Source organism: Homo sapiens, chromosome 1 (genome assembly GCF_000001405.40).
Source record: "Homo sapiens chromosome 1, GRCh38.p14 Primary Assembly".
Taxonomy (NCBI): domain Eukaryota; kingdom Metazoa; phylum Chordata; class Mammalia; order Primates; family Hominidae; genus Homo; species Homo sapiens.
Genome location: NC_000001.11, coordinates 45,819,561 through 45,840,122, shown reverse-complemented (window position 1 = coordinate 45,840,122; position 20,562 = coordinate 45,819,561). Strand labels below are relative to the sequence as shown.

At 39.8% G+C, this 20,562-nt stretch overlaps 1 protein-coding gene across 23 annotated transcripts in view, besides 2 other annotated features; it reads right to left on the bottom strand.

Moving 5' to 3' along the window:
- MAST2 (microtubule associated serine/threonine kinase 2) overlaps window positions 1-20,562 on the bottom strand; it is a 232,511-nt gene that overhangs the window by 196,000 nt on the left and 15,949 nt on the right. For all 23 annotated transcript variants that reach the window (XM_011541059.3, XM_011541069.3, XM_011541061.3 and 20 more), the window contains exons 2-3: window positions 15,543-15,690; window positions 10,542-10,684 (exon numbers count right to left, since the gene is read on the bottom strand). In XM_011541059.3, coding sequence (XP_011539361.1) covers window positions 10,542-10,684; window positions 15,543-15,690 — 291 coding nt within the window. The remainder of the gene's footprint in view (window positions 1-10,541; window positions 10,685-15,542; window positions 15,691-20,562) is intronic.
- Window positions 795-1,296: an enhancer, noted in NCBI's record as "H3K4me1 hESC enhancer chr1:46304499-46305000 (GRCh37/hg19 assembly coordinates)". NCBI's record gives its function as "activates a minimal SCP1, AML or CMV promoter by ChIP-STARR-seq in primed H9 embryonic stem cells {active_cell/tissue: H9 hESC(primed)}" and the evidence as "EXISTENCE:reporter gene assay evidence [ECO:0000049][PMID:30033119]".
- Window positions 17,479-17,679: a silencer, noted in NCBI's record as "peak201 fragment used in MPRA reporter construct". NCBI's record gives its function as "represses an SCP1 promoter by STARR-seq MPRAs in K562 erythroleukemia cells {active_cell/tissue: K562}" and the evidence as "EXISTENCE:reporter gene assay evidence [ECO:0000049][PMID:32103011]".

Sequence of the window (20,562 nt, the reverse complement as noted above, 5' to 3'; positions counted from 1 at the left end):
CTTTCTGATAAAAGCCAATTTTTTTCCTTTTATAGGTTAAGCTTTTTTTACTCCAAGAAACCTTTGCCCCACCTAAAATCACAAAAATTTTCTCGTTTTCCTCTACACATTTTATGATTTAAGCTCTTACATTTGTTCAATTACCCACTTCAAGTTAATTTTTGTACAGCATGAGGTAAGTATAGAGGTTGATATTTTTGTGTGAATTGTTTCAACACCATTTGTTATGAAGACTACCTTTTCCCCCATTAAATTGCCTTGGCAAATTTGTCTATTTGGTTCCAGTGATCTATATATCTATCCTTATACCAATAATCACACTGACCCGATTACTGTTCCTTTATACAAAGTCATAAAATAAGTTTGATTCCTCTAACTTTGGTCTTCTTTTTAATATTGTTTTGGTTATTCTAGGTCCTTTACATTTCAATACACATTTGAAATCAGCTTGATATTTTCTGAAAAATACTACCTGGGTTTTGATCGGGACTGCATTAAATCTATAGCTTAATGGAGAAAATTTACATCTTCATGATATGAGTCTTCCTAGACTGGGCACCAGGTGGTTCATGCCTGTAAGCCAGCATTTCGGGAGGCCAGGGCAGGAGGATTGCTTGAGTACAGGAGTCCAAGACCAGCCTGGGCAACATGGCGAAACCCCATCTCTACAAAAAATACAAAAATCAGCCAGATGTTGCTGGGCGTGGTGGCTCACGCCTGTGATCTCAGCACTTTGGGAGGCTGAGGCGGGCAGATCACGAGGTCAGGAGTTTGAGACCAGCCTGGCCAACATGGTGAAACCCCATCCCTACTAAAAATACCAAAAACTAGCCAGGCATGGTGGCAGGCACCTGTAATCCCAGCTACTGGGGAGGCTGAGGCAGCAGAATCACTTGAACCCGGGAGGCGGAGGTCGCAGTGAGCTGAGACCATGCCATTGCACTCTAGCCTGGCAAACAGAGCGAGACTCCGTCTCAAAAAAAAAAAAAAAAATTTGTGATGGTGCCTGTAGTCCCAGCCACTTGGGAGGCTGACATGGGAGGATCACTGGAGCCCAGGAGGCGGAGGTCGCAGTGAGCCAAGATCACACCCCTATACTCCAGCCTGGATGACAGAGTGAGACCCTGTCTCAAAGGAAAAAAAAAAGAAAAGATATGAGTCTTCCAATACACAAAAATGTTGTATCTCTCCATTCATTTAGGTCTTCTTTAATTTGTCTCAGTAATGTTTTGTAGTTTTCAATGTACTGGTCTTCCAAAATGGTTTCTGGAATTTATCTTCAAGTAGTTCATATTTTAAACTATTGCAAACAGTCCTGATTTTTAAGTTTTGATTTCTAATTACTCATTGTTAGTATAGAGGGATACAACTGATTTCCACATTTTTCGTATATAAATATTTGTGTAAAACTGATAAGAAAATGAAAATGTAAGTCACAGACAGGGAGAATATGTTTAGAAGGCATATATTTGATATATAACTTGTATTCAGAATATACGAAGATTCCTGAAACTCAATAAGACAAAAAAAATTTTTTTTTAAATAGACAAAAGTTTTGAACAGACATTTGATCATAGAATGTATATATATAAAAATAGCTGACTGGGCGCATTGGCTGACACCTGTAATCCCAGCACTTTGGAAAGCCTAGGCGGGTGGATCACCTGAGGTCAGGAGTTCAAGAAGAGCCTGGCCAACATGGCAAAACCCCGTCTCTATTAAAAATACAGAGAAAATTAGCCAGGCATGGTGGTGCATGCCTGTAATCCCAGCTACTCAGGAGGGTAAGGCAAAAGAAGTGCTTGAACCCAGGAGGCGGAGGTTGCAGTGAGCCAAGATCATGCCACTGCGCTCCAGCGTGGGCAACAGACCGAGACTCCATCTCAAAAAAAAAAAAAAAAAAAAAAGAATATATATAATTGGCAAATAAGCACATAAAAATATGTTCAATCTCATTAGTCATTAGAGAAATGCAAATTAAAATTAAAACCACAATGAGAAACTCCCACACATCCACTAGTATGGCTAAAATTTAAAAAATGATAGCCGGGTGCGGTGGCTCACACCTGTAATCCCAGCACTTTGGGAGGCTGAGGCGGGTGGATCCCCTGAGGTCAGGAGTTCGAGACAAGCTTGACCAACACGGCGAAACCCCACCTCTACTAAAAATACGAAAATCAGCTGGGCGTGGTGGCGTGCGCCTGTAATTTCAGCTACTTGAGAGGCTGAGGGAGGAGAATGGCTTGAACCCGGGAGGTGGAAGTTGCAATGAGCCGAGATTGTGCCACGGCACTTTAGCCTGGGCAACAAGAGTGAAACTCCATCTCAAAAAAAAATATATGATAATACCTAGTACTGATAAGATGTGGAGCAACTGCTGGTGGAAATGCAAAAATGGTATAGCCACTTTAGAAAACAGGTTGGCAGTTTCTTATAAAGATAAATTTACACTGGTAAATATACATTCCACCAGTTTCATTCCTAGGTATTTACCCGAGAGAAATAAAGCATATTCCACACCAAAACAAAAACAAAAAAACTTATATGAACTTTCACAGCAGCTCTCTCTCTAACAGGCAAAAACTGGAAACAACCCATATGGTCATTAACTAGGGAATGGAAAAGTCTATATACCCATGCCAATGGAACACTTTTCAGCAATAAAGAGGAACAAACTATTGATACTCAAAACAACATGGATGAATCTCAGGAGGATTATGCTAAGTGAAAAAAGACACAAAAGACTATATACTGTATGATTCCATTCCTATGAAATTCTGGAAAAGGCAAAACCACAGTGACAAAAAGCACATCAGTAGTTGCCAAAGGCTGGGCCTGGGGAGAGAGAACAGACAGCAAAGGGACACAAGCGAACTTGGGGTGGCAGATATATTCTATACCAGGTCCATGGCCTGTTAGGGACCAGGCCACATGGCAGGAGATGAGCTGTATGAGGGTGAGCATTATATATTCTATACCAGGTCCATGGCCTGTTAGGGACCAGGCCACATGGCAGGAGATGAGCTGTATGAGGGTGAGCATTACCGCCTGAACTCCGTCTCCTGTCAGATCAGCAGCACAGCATTAGATTCTCGTAGGGGCATGAACCCTATTGTGAACTGCGCATACGAGGGATCTAGGTTGCACGCTCCTCATGAGAATCTAGCTAATGCCTGATGATCTGAGGTGGAACAGTTTCATCCTGAAACCACCTCCCATCCCCCCTCCACCCATCTGTGGAAAAACTGTCTTCCATGAAACCCGTCCCTGGTGCCAAAAAGGTTGGGGAATGCTGTTCTGTTCTATACCATAATTCTTATATAACTATATCATAATTGTGGTGGTGGTGACACAACTGTATACATCTGCCAAAAGTCATCAAACTGAACACTTAAAACGGGTGAATTTTATTCTATGTAAATTATACCTCAATAAAGCCAACTGACATATAGATATAGATATCTCCACCTTTCACAGTAGAAAATGCAAAACTACAGCAGCAGAAAGGTAATACTGAAAGGGGAAGTGCTGAATTTGGAATCTCTTTATAATACTGAAGTAGGTAAAACAAACGTCTATGGGTTTTTCCTCTTTGAACTCGTGAAAATTAAGGAAAAATAAATTAAGAATGATGGGATTACTTTTCAACTAAAATAATATAAATTAAAATAAGAATCTTTTTAATGATGAGAAAAGGTTCTAGGTTCTAAGAAAAGTCTTGGAGTTTTGTTATTTCCTTTAACAGCATACTCCATGTGACCTCAACAGACAGTTCTAAAATATTATTAAAATATAATACTAATCAAAGCCACAATAAGACACCACTTGACACCCACTATGATGGCTATAATCAAAAACACAGAAAAGTACTGGCAAGGATGCAGTGAAACTGGAACCCTCATATATTTCTGGGAAGAATATAAAATGGTGTAGCAAACCAAAAGTGTGGTAGTTCTTCAAAAAGTTAAACAAAGAATTACTGTATCATCCAACAAATCTACTCTTAGGTACATACCCAAAATACAGAAAACAAGTATTCAAAACAAATTCATGTACACAAATACAGCAGTACTATTCACAATGGCTAAAAGGTGGAAACAACTCAAATGTCTATCAGCAGACAAACGGATAAAAGTGTGGTTTACCCATACAACAGAATCTTATTCAGCCATAAAAAAGGAATAAAGTATTGATACATGCTATAATGCAGAAAAATCTTGAAAGCATTGGGCTAAGTGAAAAAAGCCAGGCACAAAAGGGCACATATTTTATGATTCCATTTATATGAAATATTAGAATAGGTAAATCCACAGAGACAAAAAGCAGATTAGTGGTTGCCCTAGCTAGAATGAGGGTGGAATGAATAATGACTGTTTAATGGGTAGAGGATTTTTTTTGCAGGGGATGGTGGTGAACATGTCTTAAAACTTGATAAAGGTGATGGCTGCACACATTGTGAATGCATGAAATGCCACTAAAATGTACACTTTAAAATGGTTAATTTTATGTTATCTGAAAATCTCATCTCAACAAAATTCAATAATAATATGGCACCCAAAATGACATCATATTCAACATGAGAACTGATGATAAAATGTTCAACAGAATATCACATCTTTTGTTCTGGTTAGAAATATTCCCAATTCAGTTTAAGATTATAGCAGTTTGCTATAATCACAGTATCATGTTAGAATGGTTATTGGTAATCATGACTTGAACATTTTAGATTACTTCTATTCTCACACTGTTTTTTAGTAGAATTGTTTTCTAACGAAAATCACTCCTTGATCATGGCTCTCCCTGTCAGAACTGTGTGCACTCTGTAACATCTGTAGTCAAAGTAGTCTTACTTTCCTGATAACTTTGTTAATGTGATGCGAAAGATTGAAAATTTGAGTATGTAGTATATATACTACTAACTTGTGAACTGGTAGATTGGTAGGATGTATGTAACACTTGACAATACTGGTATTTTCCTTAGGATACTTGATGGCCTCCTAAGGAAAATTTGCCTCCAAATTTTAAGCTGGAAAGTCACTGGAATAACTGTTTAAAAAACAAATACAATACATGGCTTTTTAGATTTCCAGTAGATATGTTAAGAACTGTGTACAAATGGAAATGTCTGTGTACTGATCCTCAACACTACCAATAAAATTTCAATTATGGAAAAAAAAAAAGACAGGGAATGAACAAGGAAGAACTGGCTTGGGCGGATGGAAAGACAGTAGACAGGTAGGGTGAGTCTTAGAATGGTGATACAGCCAAGTGGATTTACATCAGAGATACAGAAGGCAAAGATCAAAACTGCAGATACTAGTTAACATACTCAGGAGAAAGCAAAGCAGGAACTGACCTCATTTTACAGATGAGAAGAACATAGGCTCCAGTATGTTTATTCAGATTCACATAGCAGCATCAGAGCTTGGTCTTCTGATTTCTAATGCAGGGGTCTTTCTCCTATGCCACTTTTAACAACAGATTTTAACTGTATATATATTTTAAGAATACAAATAATAACTAATCTTGAACAAGACGCTATCTAAGTTTTACTCCATCCCTAAGAACATATAATAAATAATATGATTCTACGATCTGTTTTAGAACATGCCCTGGGAACCACTAATTAGGATCATGGTTCCTACATATATGGGGAAAATAAGTCCTCTGAGAAATCCTCTCAATAGACATCAGAAAATGAAGAGTCCAAAAATCTCTTCATAAAAACATCATCTAGATGGCCTCAAAATGGAAATATTTGCAACTTTAAGGCTTTTGCTTATCTATTCTCCAGACTCTGGTCAAGTCTAACCTCCTACCAGTTATCATTCCAATAATTATAACTAGTATAATTCTTGCCCCCTTTTGTTACTATTTAAATAAAAATCAATACAATATTTATTTAAATGTGATGTTTTATTATTTTTAAATAGTTGTCCTATTATATGTGAATCCTGTTCTGCTAACCCAAAAGTTCTTTGGAGGCTGGGTCCATGTACTATAGACGGCCGTTACTCCAAAGAGAATACATTCTAGTTAAGATTTTTCAGAAATGTCACAGCCAGAAGCAGGGTAGACACTGAGGTTTATTCCAGTATGGGTGGTCAAAGCAGAAATAGGTATTTAATACCAACTAGCAAATGTGCCACCTAACATAAAATATTCAACTGAAAATCTTTAGGCGGGAGAATGGGAAGAGAAGAGCTAGCTTGAAGTTACAGTAGGTAAATAAGTAGCTCAGGAAAAAAAAAAAGCACAAGAGAAAACAAAAAGCAGTTCCCTGGGAAAGAGAAGAAATTGGATTCAGGTCTAAAGAAACAATTATTTTACAAACTTACAATAAAAGAAACATTCAATTTTAAAAATGGCCAATAATCCAAATAGACACTTCTTCAAAGAAGACAAACAAATGTCCGGTAAGCACATGAAAGATGCTCAACATCATGAGTCACTAGAGAAATGCATATCAAAGACACAAGATATCACTTCCCACCCACCAGGATAGCAAGGATGTAGAGAAATCAAAGTTCTTCAAATGATTAAATACAGTTATCATATGACTCAGCAACTTCTCTCCTAGATATATATCCACGAGGAATGAAAACATATATCTACATTAAAATTTGTACATGAATGTTCATAGCAATATTACTTATAATAGCCAAAAGGCAGAAACAACCCACTGTTAACAACAGATTTTCACTCTATGTAATTTTTTTTTAAGAAGAAGAAGAACTAATCTTGAACAATATTCCACCTAAGTTCTCCTCCATCCCTAGGCACATATAATGATACGATTGTATGATCCTTTTTAGAACATGCCCTGGTAATCACTAATTAGGATCATGATTTCTACATATATGGGAAAAATAAGCCCTCAGATAAATCCTCTCAATAAACATTAGAAAATGAAGGTGAAGAATGAAGGAAATGAATCAACTGATGAACAGCTAAACAAAACATGATATATACATACAACAAAATACTATTCGGCAACAAAAAGGAACACATGCTGCAACATGGATGAATCTTGAAGACATTAGACTAAGTGAAAGCAGCCGCCACAAAAGGCCACATATTTGATTTGATTTATATGAAAAATACAGAATAGGCAAACCTATAGAGGTGGAAAGTAGATTAGTGGTTGCCTAGTGTGGGGGCGGGGTTAGGGATGGAACAATGAGGAGGTGATACCTGAAGAGTACAGTTTCTAAAGTAAAGAAAATATTCTTAAATTGACTACAGTGATGGCTGTACATGTCTGTGAAATACACCAAAAAATACTGACCTGTATACTTTAAGTGGGTGAATTATATCATATGTGAATTATATCTCAATAAACTGTTAATTTAAAAAAAACTTAATTCAGGAATATTCTAGCTCACTTGGCCTAGGTTCCAGTAACCTCAGTCCGGGAATCCCTTCTGCAACATACCACCTTAAAGTGGAATATTCAGCTGTATCATGGTGGCAGTAGTTCTCAAAGAAGTACGTTGTTAGAATCAGGGTAACACTTTAAAGAAAATACAGGCCAGGCACAGTGGCTCACACCTGTAACCCCAGCACTTAGGGAGGCCAAGGCCGGTGGATCACTTGAGGCAGCAGTTCAAGACCAGCCTGGCCAACATGGCAAAACCCCATCACTACTGAAAAGACAAAAAATAGCCAGGTGAGGTGGCACACATCTGTAATCCCAGCTACTCGGGAGGCATGAGAATTACTTGAACCCAGGAAGCAGAGGGTGCAGTGAGCTAAGATCATGACACTGCACTCCAGACTGGACAACAGAGGGAGAACCTGTCTCAAAAAAAAAAAAAGAAAGAAAGAAAAGAAAAGAAAACACAGATGCTTGTGACTAACCCCAGACATCTGGATCAAAATCTCTAGGAGGGTACACTCATCCATTTTTGCTTGTTTGTTTGTTTGTTTTAGGTTCCAGAGGTTAAAAGGGAAGCAGGCGAGGCTTTAATAGACATGTTGGGACCAAGTAGGAAAATCTCAATATGGTCTTCACATTATTAGATGTTACTATTAAAATGATGTGGCCAGGTGCGGTGGCTCACGCCTGTAATCCCAGCACTTTGAGAGGCCGAGGCAGGTGGATCACTTGAGGTCAGGAGTTCGAGATCAGCCTGGCCAACATGGTGAAACCCCATCTCTACTAAAAATACAAAAATTAGCCAGGTGTAGTGGTACGCACCTGTAATCCCAGCTACTTGGGAGGCTGACACAGGAGAATCATTTGAACCCAGGAGACAGAGGTTGCAGTGAGCCAAGATCACACCACTACACTCCAGCCTGGGTGACAGAGCGAGACTCAGGCTCAAAAAAAAAAAAAAAAACTATTAAACTTCTTAGATCTGGTCATATATTGTAGTTATTTAGGAGAGTATCCTTCACCTTAGGAGAAATACTTAAGGATGAGGTATCGTAATTAGTCTGTGACTTGCTTTGAAATGCTTCGGGAAAAAAATACATATATACACACAGAAAAAACAAATATGGAAAAAATGTACAAATTAGTCAGTCTAGGTAAAACTTACATGGGTGTTCACTGTACCATTCTGTCTATTTTTCTGCAGATTTCAAAATTTCAAAATAAAAAATTAAGGAGGTAGGAATTTTCACAAATGATCCTGATTCTCTCTGTGGCCTGAGAATCACAAACTTCGGTATTATCAGGATATCCTTTGATCCAAAAATTAGCCTCCCACCTGCTACACAAAGACATCCTCCCCGCTACTCCCACTTCCCATATTGAACAAATGGACAAAACTTTCTACTCCACATATGTTGACCCAAAAGGCTTATATCTTCAAGTGTAGATGAGACTTTAATAGTAACAAGTTTCTGTTATTGTACCCTACAAATTAGTAGGTGCCTAGACCTAAGGATAGAGGGAACAGTGTGAGATGAGCAGAAAGCCAGTGGGTGCCTTTGGTACAAAAGCAAGTTTGAGGATAAAAGGGTATAATTTGTAACAACAGGCAGAAACAAAGCAACCTGCCCAGGCTACACAGCTTTAATTTTGTAAGGCCCTGCCTATCACACAAAGCCTAGACAAACAAAAGGCTTTTTTTTTTTTTTTTTTTCCAGACAAGGTCTCACTCTGTCGCCAGAGTGTGGTGGCACAATCACAACTCACTACAGCTTCAACTGCTCAGGCTCAAGCGATTATCCCACCTCAGCCTTCTGAGTAGCTGGGACTACAGGCACACCCCACCATCCTCGGCTAATTTTTTTTTTATGATTATTATTATTTGTATAGACAAGGTCTCAACTATGTTGCCCAGGCTAGTCTTGAACTCCTGGGCTCAAGCGATCCTCCTGCCTCAGACTCTCAGAGTGCAGGAATTAGAGACGTAAGCCACTGCACCCGGCCCTCATTCTTATACATATACTTTAAGTACCCATGATGTGCCAAACAAGTTCCCTGTCCTCATGTACTAAATATGTATACCACAGAGCTGTAAACCAAAGCAGCACAACTGTACCAGATTTAGAATCATTTCTATAAAAAGAATGTTCTTTCCCAGGAAAATTTACTCATTGAAGTTACAACCTTACAGAATCTTTTCCTTGACCCTCACTATACAATTAGTACCAGTGACACTGACAGCATGAGAGGGCAATCAAAATAGACTTAATTGGGCCAGGCACAGTGGCTCAAGCCTGTAATCCCAACACTTTGGGAGGCTGAGGTGGGTGGATCATGAGGTCAGGAGTTCAAGACCAGCCTGGCCAACGTGGTGAAACCCCATCTCTACTAAAAACACAAAAACTAGCGGGGTATGGTGGCAAGTGCCTGTAATCCCAGCTACTTGGGAGGCTGAGGCAGGAGAATCACTTGAACCTGGGAGACAGAGGTTGCAGTGAGCCGAGATTGCACTACAGCCTGGGCAACAAAGTGAGACTCCATCTCAAAAAAAAAAAAAAAAAAAGATTCAATTAAAATTTCATTCTTAAGGCCGGGAGTGGTGGCCCACACCTGTAATCCCAGCACTTTGGGAGGCCGAGCAGGGAGGATCACCTGAGGTCAGGAGTTCAAGACCAGCCTAGCCAACACAGTGAAACCCCATCTCTACTAGTAATACAAAAAAATTAGCCAGGGGTGGTGGCGCACACCTGTAATCCCAGCTACTCAGAAGGCTGAGGCAGGAGAATTGCTTGAACCCAGGAGGCAGGTGAGATCACATCATTGCACTCCAGCCTGGGTGACAAGAGCAAAAATCCAACTCAAAAAAAAAAAGAAAAAAAAAAATTTCATTCTTAGCCTGATGCCATGACATGTACCTGTAGTCCCTGCTACTTGGAAGGTTGAGGCAATAGGAATACTACAGCCAAGGAGTTCGAAGTCAGCCTGGGCAACAAAGCAAGACCCTATCTCTAAAAAAAATAATAATAAATTCATTCTCTTCCATACTTCATTTTGGGAAACTGAATTCTCCAAATCCTAAAAAGGAAAAAGAATAGATGTTGCAATGACAAATGACAATTATGGATTTTTCATAGAGCAAAATGCCACCTTTATGAACACTTACCAGGCCAGCAGTAAGAGAAGGTGCAGACTGTCCAAGGGACTGGTTTCTCATTCGAACCAGGTTTGATGCTTCTCCTGACGACTGCCAAGTCACCTGTCCCACACTGCTATGTACACTGCTGGACAAAGGGAGCAGCTGCTTACCTTCAAATACAAGGTTTGGAAAATATACATGTAATTATTTATTGATAAACAAATGAAAAAATACAAATACAGTGATATCAAGTGGATAAAACCATACTGATACAAAGTAAAATTGTTCACATCCATTTTAGAATCTATTAAAATTTCCAACTATCCATTAAAAATTGTGACTGTCTTGGTGGTGATGATAATGGCAAGTGGAACACTGAAATGGATTAACTATTTTATGTTCTCTATAATATTCACCACATGCCAGCCTCCCACTCTAACACCCAAACTAGCAGTCTAGGAGTTTTCCAATCCCTTCTAGCCTACATAGTTTCTCATCACCTCAATGTAACATTAGAGATGCAAGTTTCCAGCAGGCAAACAATGAACCTATTCTGCTCTCACTAGACTCCATGTGCTCAGTTCAGGTTTACTGTCTGCCTTAATCTCAATGAAAGAGAGTCACTTATAAAGACCAAGTATAGGGAATTCCAATGATTTTTGTTTTTTGGCTTTTTTTTTTTTGAGACAGAGTGTCACTCACTGTCGCCCAGGCTGGAGTGCAGTGGTGTGATCTCAGCTCATTGCAACCTCTGCCTCCCAGGCTCAAGCGATTCTCCTGCCTCAGCCTCCTGAGTAGCTGGGACTACAGGCATGCACCACCACACCTGGCTCATGTTTTGTATTTTTAGTAGACATGGGGTTTTGCCATGTTAGCCAGGCGGGTCTCCAACTCCTGACCTCAGGTGATGTGCCCGCCTTGGCCTCCCATAGTGCTGGGATTACAGGCATGAGCCACCACGCCCGACCTGCAATGACTTTATAAATGAGGTGAAGGTCTCATTTCTCCCCTTCTTCCCACCATTCTTCACACTTTTGCTTGTGATCTAACCAACAAAAATGTGTTCATGTCATTTCCTTCCTTAAAAGCCTCTGATGGCTCCTTACTATTTGAAGATATTATGCCAGACATTTTGGCATATGAAAAAGACCCTCCATAAATCCAGATTATCTTTCTGGTCTCATCTCCTTCGACTCTTTTCCACACTTATTCACTCACTCAACTTCAATATTATGCCCTGCACTTTCCCCTGGCTTTATCATGATCACTCAACTCACTTGAAAATCCTTTCTGTGCCTGGTAAAATCTTAGTCATGAAAATACCCAATGTAGTAAAGATGTTAAGAAAGGGCTTGGGGGATATTTTTGTTTTTGCTGCCAACAAAATATGATACAATTCATTTGGAGAACAATTTAGCAAAGCTAACCACAGAAGAAAATTAAGACATAGAAGAAAGTAAAAATTAAGAAAGACTTCAGGACAGGTGTTGTGGCTCACACATGTAATCCCAGCATTTTGGGAGGCCGAAGCAGGAGGATCACTTGAGCCCAGGAGTTCAAGACCAGCCTCCGCTACATAGCAAGACCTCATCTCCAAGAAAAAAAAAAAATTAGCCAGGCATGGTGGTGTGTGCCTGTGGTCCCAGCTACTCAGGAGGCTGAGGAGAAGCGGGGAGGATCACCTGAGCTCAGGTGGTCAAGGCTTCAGTGAGGCATGGTCATGTCACTGCACTTTAGCCTGGGAAACAGAATGAGAAGCTGTCTCAAAAAATTTAAAAAAAGGAAAGACTTCACTTTGACATAATGCATGTTTTTGTAGTGACATTTTTTATAACTAGCATGTTTTACTAGAAAATTACAATATACTTTTAAAATCTAGTTAAGTTTTCAAGTCTCAAATGTACCTTTTACTGGAAAGTCTTTCCATAAAGCCCTCCATAAAAAAAAAATAATGATGATGATGATGGTGTTCTGCTCAAAACTTCCATAAGCCCAGAGTAGAGCCTGCCTGCCTTCTTTCCTTCATTCTGCAAATGTGCATTTCTCCAGATGACCTGCCTACTTCTCACCTATTAATTCTAAAGGGAAGTCAGCTTAACTTATCCTATTTACACAAAGATTACTATCATCTCTCTCTTCAAAATAAAGGCCTGTTGGGAAAGAGGCTTACACACTGTAGAAGAAACCTATTTGACTCTGTACACCAGTAAAGACTGAAGCATACCGCAGACTGCCAAGAACTTGAGGAAAATAAATAAAACGGAAGGAACAACATAAACAAACAGAATAACAAGCAGCTCTTTAGTAAATAAATAACACAGAAAAAAAGAAAACCTCTTAAAAATTCTAATTACTATTCTTATAATAATTCAAGAGGCTAATGCATAAAACATTCTCAGTTAAAGATGGCAGACCAAGCACATGCTTTTATCTTTTGTCCTCCAGGAAACACCATAAAAATGAGACAAAAGAAGTAACCTGGGCAGAGCGTGGTGGCTCCCGCCTGTAATTCCAGCACTTTGGGAGGCCGAGGCAGGCGGATCACGAGGTCAAGAGATTGAGACCATTCTGGCCAACATAGTGAAACCCCGTCTCTACTAAAAATACAAAAATTAGCTGGGTGTGGTGGCATGGCACCTGTAGTCCCAGCTACTTGGGAGGCTGAGGCAGGAGAATCGCTTGAACCAGGAAGGCGGAGGTTTCAGTGAGCCGAGATCGCGCCACTGCATTCCAGCCTGGTGACAGAGTAAGACTCCGTCAAAAATAAATAAATAAATAAAAATAAAAAGTAAGCAAACAAAGGCCATAATGACAGAAACAGCCAGACACTGATAATGAGGGGGTGAAAAAACTGTGGGGAAATCTAAAGCAGATAGATGGACTGTAACCAATGCAACTGGGCAAAGAAAGGTATAAGCTATAGTAAGCATGGAGGGGATTGCAATTAAGTGGAGTATCTGGCCTGGCCTGGTTGCTCAGGTCTATAATCCCAGCTCTTTGGGAGGCCAAGGAAGGACTGCTTGAGCTCAGGAGTTCAAGACTAGCCTGGGCAACATGGCGAAACCCCCTCTCTACTAAAAATACAAAAATTAGCTGGGTGTGGTGGTGCACACCTGTAGTCCTACCTACTTAAGAGACTGAGGTGGGAGGATCACTTGAGCCCAGAAGGCAGAGGTTGCAGTGAGCTGAGATCACACCACTGCACTCCAGCCTGGGCGACAGAGGAGACCCTGTCTCAAAAAAAAGTGAGGTATCATCTGCCCTGCAAACTCTTAGACTAAGCACTCAGAAATGAAAAGCACCCCAAAAGTCATAAAGTAAGACACGAGCTGCAATCAGATAAATGGAAAATTCCATAGAAAGAACAGTCAAACACAACCACATTTCAACAATGTACCCGGCAGCCATGCAATTACCTCACAGGATAAAAGGGATTTAGCATTTTAGAACAAAACACTGAATATTCTGGTTGTTAGATGCTCAAAAGAAAGAGCTGATCCAGGTAAGAAAACTTTACTTTTTTTTTGTTTGGCTTTGTTTTGGAGACAGAGTTTCGCTCTGTCGCCCCAGCTGGAGTGTAATGATGCTCACTCAGCCTCCACCTCCCAGGTTCAAGCGATTCTTGTGCCTCAGCCTCCGGAGTGGCTGGGATCACAGACACATATCACCATGCCCGGCTAATCTTTGTATTTTTAGTAGAGACGGGGTTTTGCCATGTTGGCCAGGCTGGTCTTGAACTCCTGACCTCAGGTGATCTGCCTGCCTTGGTCTCCCAAAGTGCTGTGATTACGGGCGTGAGCCACCACACCCAGCCACATTTTTAAATAAAAAATCTAATTTACTCATGACAATCAGAAGATAATCACATCCCAGGCAGGCGTGGTGGCTCACCTCCCATATGTAATCCCAGCACTTTGGGAGGCCAAGGCAGGCGGATCACCTGAAGTGAGGAGTTCAAGAGCAGCCTGGCCAACATGGTGAAACCCTGTCTCTACCAAAAATAAAAAAATTAGCCAGGCATGGTGGTGCGCACCTGTGATCCCAGCTACTCAGGAGGCTGAAGCAGGAGAATCACTTGAACCTGGGAGGTAGAGGTTGCAGTGAGCAGACATCATGCCACTAAACTCCAGCCTGGGCAGTAAAGTGAGACTCTGTCTCAAAAAAAAAAAGAGAAGATAATCGCATCCTTTTAAAAAAAGAGGAGAATGTTATGAAAAACCAAACAAGAAATGGCTCTATGTAACTAAATATATGACCAGCAAAAATAAAAATTTAAATATAAGAGGCTGGGCGCGGTGGCTCACGCCTGTAATCCCAGCACTATGGGAGGCTGAGGCAGGCGGATCACAAGCTCAGGAGATCGAGACCATCCTGGCTAACACAGTGAAACCCCGTCTCTACTAAAAATACAAAAAATTAGACAGGCATGGTGGCGGATGCCTGTAGTCCCAGCTACTCGGGAGGCTGAGGCAGGAGAATGGCATGAATCCGGGAGGCGGAGCTTGCAGTGAGCCGAGATCACACCACTGCACTCCAGCCTGGGCTACGGAGCGAAACTCCATCTCAAAAAAAAAGGAAAGAAAAGAATTATGCCACAATGTACAATGTAATTGCTTCCTTTTGTACTGTGACTTCTTCGTATAATTTTTTCCCCCTGAATTTTTTAAGTCTTTTCTTTGAAGGCGGTAGAGGCCACTATGAGTTTTAGGTTTTGAGAATGAAGGAAAAAAGAAAATCTACAGAAGCAAAGAATATAAAGTTTACAGAAATAGGCAGAGAGCAAAAATCAGAGTAAGAGAGAGTGACCACTAGTGGTGATCAACCAAGAAATATCTATCAGGTCCTACAGGTTAGCAATCAGAGATTCCATGAGGAAGAAGTAAGGAGAGGAAGACAGCCTTACCATAAATGTTCTATACAAGACTACTACCAGAGAAGAAACTGTCAAGATGCCAATTCAATTAATATACACTTAAATATTGACCACATGGTCCCACATTTCTTAAAACAACAAAATCAGATATTTACCCGATAGAGAGCTGGCCAGGTTTCCTCTCCATAACTTACAATCATCCTGACTCAGTTGTCGCTGAAGTTTAACTTTTCCAGTGGATGAAAATATGTCAGGATTACTGAGTTTCCTGAAGAGCAGGGGACTAACTCCAGTTACTACATCCTTCAAAGAGAAAAAGAGTAAAACATGAGTCTTTAATATCTCCTCTGAAGTATAAAAACTTTATATTAAACATCTCTACAGCATTCACTACAATTTAAAAGTGCCAAAATATTATACTTCCCCCTCCATAGCTAAAACCAGAAACATATTTCTTAGTAAAAGCTAGGTATGCTGTAAAGGACACAGGATATTGATTATTAAAATGCCAAAGGAAAAATAGGTGAGAAAGGTCATGGGATGACAGACATTTTGACAGGATATAGTATTCATAATGAGTACACTTCTTAGTTAAGTTTATTTATGTTTATCCTTTTATTCATACCCTTCCTATATCCAATAAAGAAAAGCATATTTTAGTTTAAAAAAAATCATTAAATGGTAGACTTTACCTGGCATATAAAGTCAGAAATATCTCTAACATTCAATTAATGCTAAAATTAATATTAGAGCTTTCTTTATATGCCTATAAGAGGAGCTAAATACAGGTTTTCAAAGTATAAAAGTACTATCAGAAAATACAGGCAATACAAAACATTGACAGAACCTTCCCATTCCACTCCAACACCTCTTTCTCCTCATTCAGTAAGCAGTGTCCAATAATATCATCAACATGTAGACATTTTTAAGCCAACACCCACCTAATCAGGAGTATTATAATAAATAAGAAACTTTCGAAAAAAATCAGCCCGATGAGGTATATCTATTATATGTCAATGAAGGAAGCTGTAACAAATACAGATAAGTAACACATCAAACTGATCTAGACAGTACAGAGACAAGAACCATTAGAGAATAACTGGGCCGGGTACAGTAGCTCACACCTGTAATCCCAGCACTTTAGGAGTCTGAGGCAGGTGGATCATGAGGTCGGGAGTTCAAGACCAGCCTGGTCAAGATGATGAAACCCTGTCTCTACTAAAAATACAAAAATTAGCCAGGCGTGGTGGCAGGCACCTGTAACCCCGGCTTACTCGGGAGGCTGAGACAGAGAATTGCTTGAACCCAGGAGGCAGAGGTTGCAGTGATCCAAGATCATGTCACTGCACTCCAGCCTGAGCAACAGAGCGAGACTCCGTCTCAAAAAAAAAAAAAAAAGAGAATAACTGACCCCATGTCACCTGCCATTTGAAAAACAAGCTTCAAGTAACTGGCACCATAGCAATACTAAAAGCCACAAGGGGCAAAAAAGGAGGAAATTTCCAGTTCTCTAAGATTAAAAAAAAAAAAAAGAAAAAAATTCTATACAGTTATATATTGTGATTAGTGAGTTCAAAAAAATGGGTAAGTACTAATATTGGTTGGTGGTGACTATCCAAAACATGATTTACAAATGCCCAAACATAAAAAGAAGAGTGAAGTTGGTGAAGAAAAATACCTGAAAAGAAGAAAAAGACAATTTCAAAACATGGTGGTAAGTGAATAAAAGGATAAAGGAGGATATTGTGGCACTGAATCAAACAATTGATGTGTCCAGGCACCTAACTGTAGCAGGACTGAGCAGTGAGACGGGGAACAGGAAATAGAACTTAATGCAAAAACAGAAGGTAGCAAGGGAACAGCTTGTATTTGCACTATTTGGCATGTCAAGGATGAAACAGTACCTATGGATCAAGGAGAAACCAGGGAAGGAAGCAGACTTTGGACTAATGCTGGTAATCCATTAAAGAGGGTTGGCCACTCACAAAGGTGACAAGCACAGCAAGAAGCTCTAGGTAGAGAGAACTGAGGAGGCCTTGGAAGACATCAAGCTAAAGTGGATATCCTCTATGAAGACAATGTGGAGAGGGAAAGATCCTATCTCAAAAAAACTTACAACCAGCTGCATGGGAGAACCAGCATTTGGATGCCTGCTACACTGTATGGATGAATAATCCGTCTTAGCCAGAGAAAGAACAATCAAGAAAGAATTTGATCAGTACCAATTAAGAGAAACACATACACTTTTCAATTTCCCTATTCCTTCCCACAAGACACCAAAGTAAAGAAACCAGATAACAGAGGAGAGGAGAAAAGAAAGAGAGGATCACACCCCTTCTTACTGCAAGTCTCTTCGAGTCAAAACCTGGCAAAGGAAAGGAAATATAAATTAAATATGAAATTTGAACTTTTAAGCTAGGATTTTTAACTTTTACTGAAGTACATTACTCATTTTAGAAAAGTACACATACCTAAGCATAGAACTCAATGAATTTTCACAAATTGAACAGACCCACTAAGCAGCATCAAGATTAAAACACTGAAAATAGCCAGGCACGGTGGCTCATGCCTGTAATCCCAGAACTTTGGGAGGCTGAGGTGGGTGGATCATTTGAGGTCAGGAGTTCAAGACCAGCCTGGCCAACATGGCAAAACCCCATCTCTACTAAAAATACAAAAATTAGCTGGGCGTGATGGCACGTGCCTGTAATCCCAGCTACTTGGGAGGCTGAGGCACAGGAATCGCGTGAACCTGGGAGGTGGAGGTTGCAGTGAGCAGAAATCACACCACTGCACTCCAGGCTGGGTGACAGAGCAACACTCTGTCACCAAAAAAAAAAAAAAAAAAAAGGTGAAGGTGAAACAATATATGAATATGGGAATTCTAGAAGAGAAGGGGGCAGTAAGAACATGTGAAGAGGCCGGGCACCATGGCTCACGCCTGTAATCCCAGCACTTTGAGAGGCCAAGGCGGGCAGATCATGAGGTTAGGAGTTTGAGACCAGCCTGGCCAACATGGTGAAACCCCGTCTCTAATAAAAATACAAAAATCAGCTGGCGTGGTGGTGCATGCCTGTAGTTCCAGCTACTCGGGAGGCTGAGGCACAGTTATGACTTGAACCCAAGAGGCAGAGGTTGCAGCGAGCCAAGATCCTGCCCTGCACTTCAGCCTGGGTAACAGAACGAGACTCTGTCTCAAAAAAAAAAAAAAAAAAAAAAAGAAGAAATAACATACCAAAACTTCCCAAATGTGATGACAGATACAAATCTACACATCCAAGAAGCTCCGTGACTTCTAAGCAGGTTAAATTCAAAAAGGTTCATATGGAGACACATGATAACCAAACTGTCAAAGCCAATGGCAAAGAAATAATATTCAAAGCAGCAAGAGAAAAGCAACTTGTCAAATACAGGAGATCCTGAATCAGACGAACAGCTCATATCTCATCAGAACTGTGGAGTCCAGAAGTGAGTAGGATGACATACGGAATTCTATCTTGAGCATAACTGTCCTTCAAAAATGAGGAAAAAATAAAGGCTGGGTGCAGTGGCTCACACCTGTAATCCCAACACTCTGGGAGGCCAAGGTAGGGAGATTGCTTGAGCCCAGGAGTTTGAGATCAGCCTGGGCAACATGGCGAAACTCTGTCTCTGCAAAACACATAAAAGTTAGCTGGGCATGGTGACATGTACCTGTGGTCCCAGCTACTCAGGAGGATGAGGCAAGAAAATTGCTTGAGCCCAGGAGGTCAACACTGCAGTGAGCCAAGATTGCACCACTACACTCCAGCCCGGGAAACAGAGCAAGACTCTGACTCAAAAAAAAAAAAAAAAAAAAAAAAGAGAAAGAAAGAGAAATTGAAATCGAGGCATTTTCAGATTAAGAAAAAAAAAAAAAAAAGCAGACAGAGTCCATCACCACTACATATGTTCTACATCAAATCCTAAAAGGCATCTTCAAGTTGAAATGAAAGGACACTAAACAGAAACTTAAGGCCATCTGAAAAAATGAAGATCCAAAAAATAAAAAATAAAGATCCCCAGCAAAGGTAACCATATGGACAAATATCACAGCCAGTATTATTCTATTTTTGTTTTTCAGCTCCACCTTTTTTCCCTATATGACTTAAAAGACAAAAGCATTAAAAAATTATAAATCTATGATATTTAGCACACAATGAATAAAGATGTAATCTGCCACAAAAACAACTTATCAAGGAAATGGAGCTATACAGGAATAAAGTTTTTGTATACTACAGAAGTTAAACTGGTACCATTTCAAACTAGACTGTTATAAATTTAGTATGTTACATGTAATCCCCATAGCAACCAAAAAAAAATTCTAAAAAACACACACAAAAGGAAGTGAGAAAAGATCCCCTTGATCCAGTTTTGCTTTGGTTGCCTCTGCATGTGGGGTATTTATTGCTCAAGAAATTTTTGCCCAAACCAATGTCCTAGCAAGTTTCCCCAAAGTTTTCTTTTAGTAGTTTCAGAGTTTGCAGTTTAAGATTTAAATCTTTAATACATTTTTGATTTTTGTATATGGGAAGAGATAGGGATCTAGTTTCACTCTTCTGCATGTAGATATCTGCATATAGATTTCCAGTTTTCCGAGAACCATTTATTGTACAGACTGTCCTTTTACCAAAGTATGTTCTTGGCACCTCTGTCAAAAACCAGTTCACTGTAAATGTATGGATTTATTAATGGGTTCTCTATTCCGTTCTATTGGTCTCTGTTTGTTTTTATGTCAGTACCATGTTGTTTTGGTTACCATAGCTTTCTAGTATCATTTCAAGTCAGGTAATGTCATTTCTCCAGTTTTCTTCTTTATGTTGAAGATAGCTTTGGCTATTCTGAGTCCTCTGTGGTTCCACGTAAATTTTAGAATTGTTTTTTCTATTTTTGTGGAGAATGTCATTGGTATTTTGAATATGGATTGTATTGAATCTGTAGATTGCTTTGGGTACTATGGACATTTTAATAGTGATTTTTCCAATCCATGAACATGAAATATCTTTTCATTTTTTTAATGTCCTCTTCAATTTCTTGCATCAGTGTTTAATAGTTTTCATTAGAGAGATCTTTCATCTCTTTGGTTAATCCCTAGGTATTTTATTTGCAGCTACTGTAAATGGGGTTACTTTTTTGATTTTTTCAGATTGTTCACTG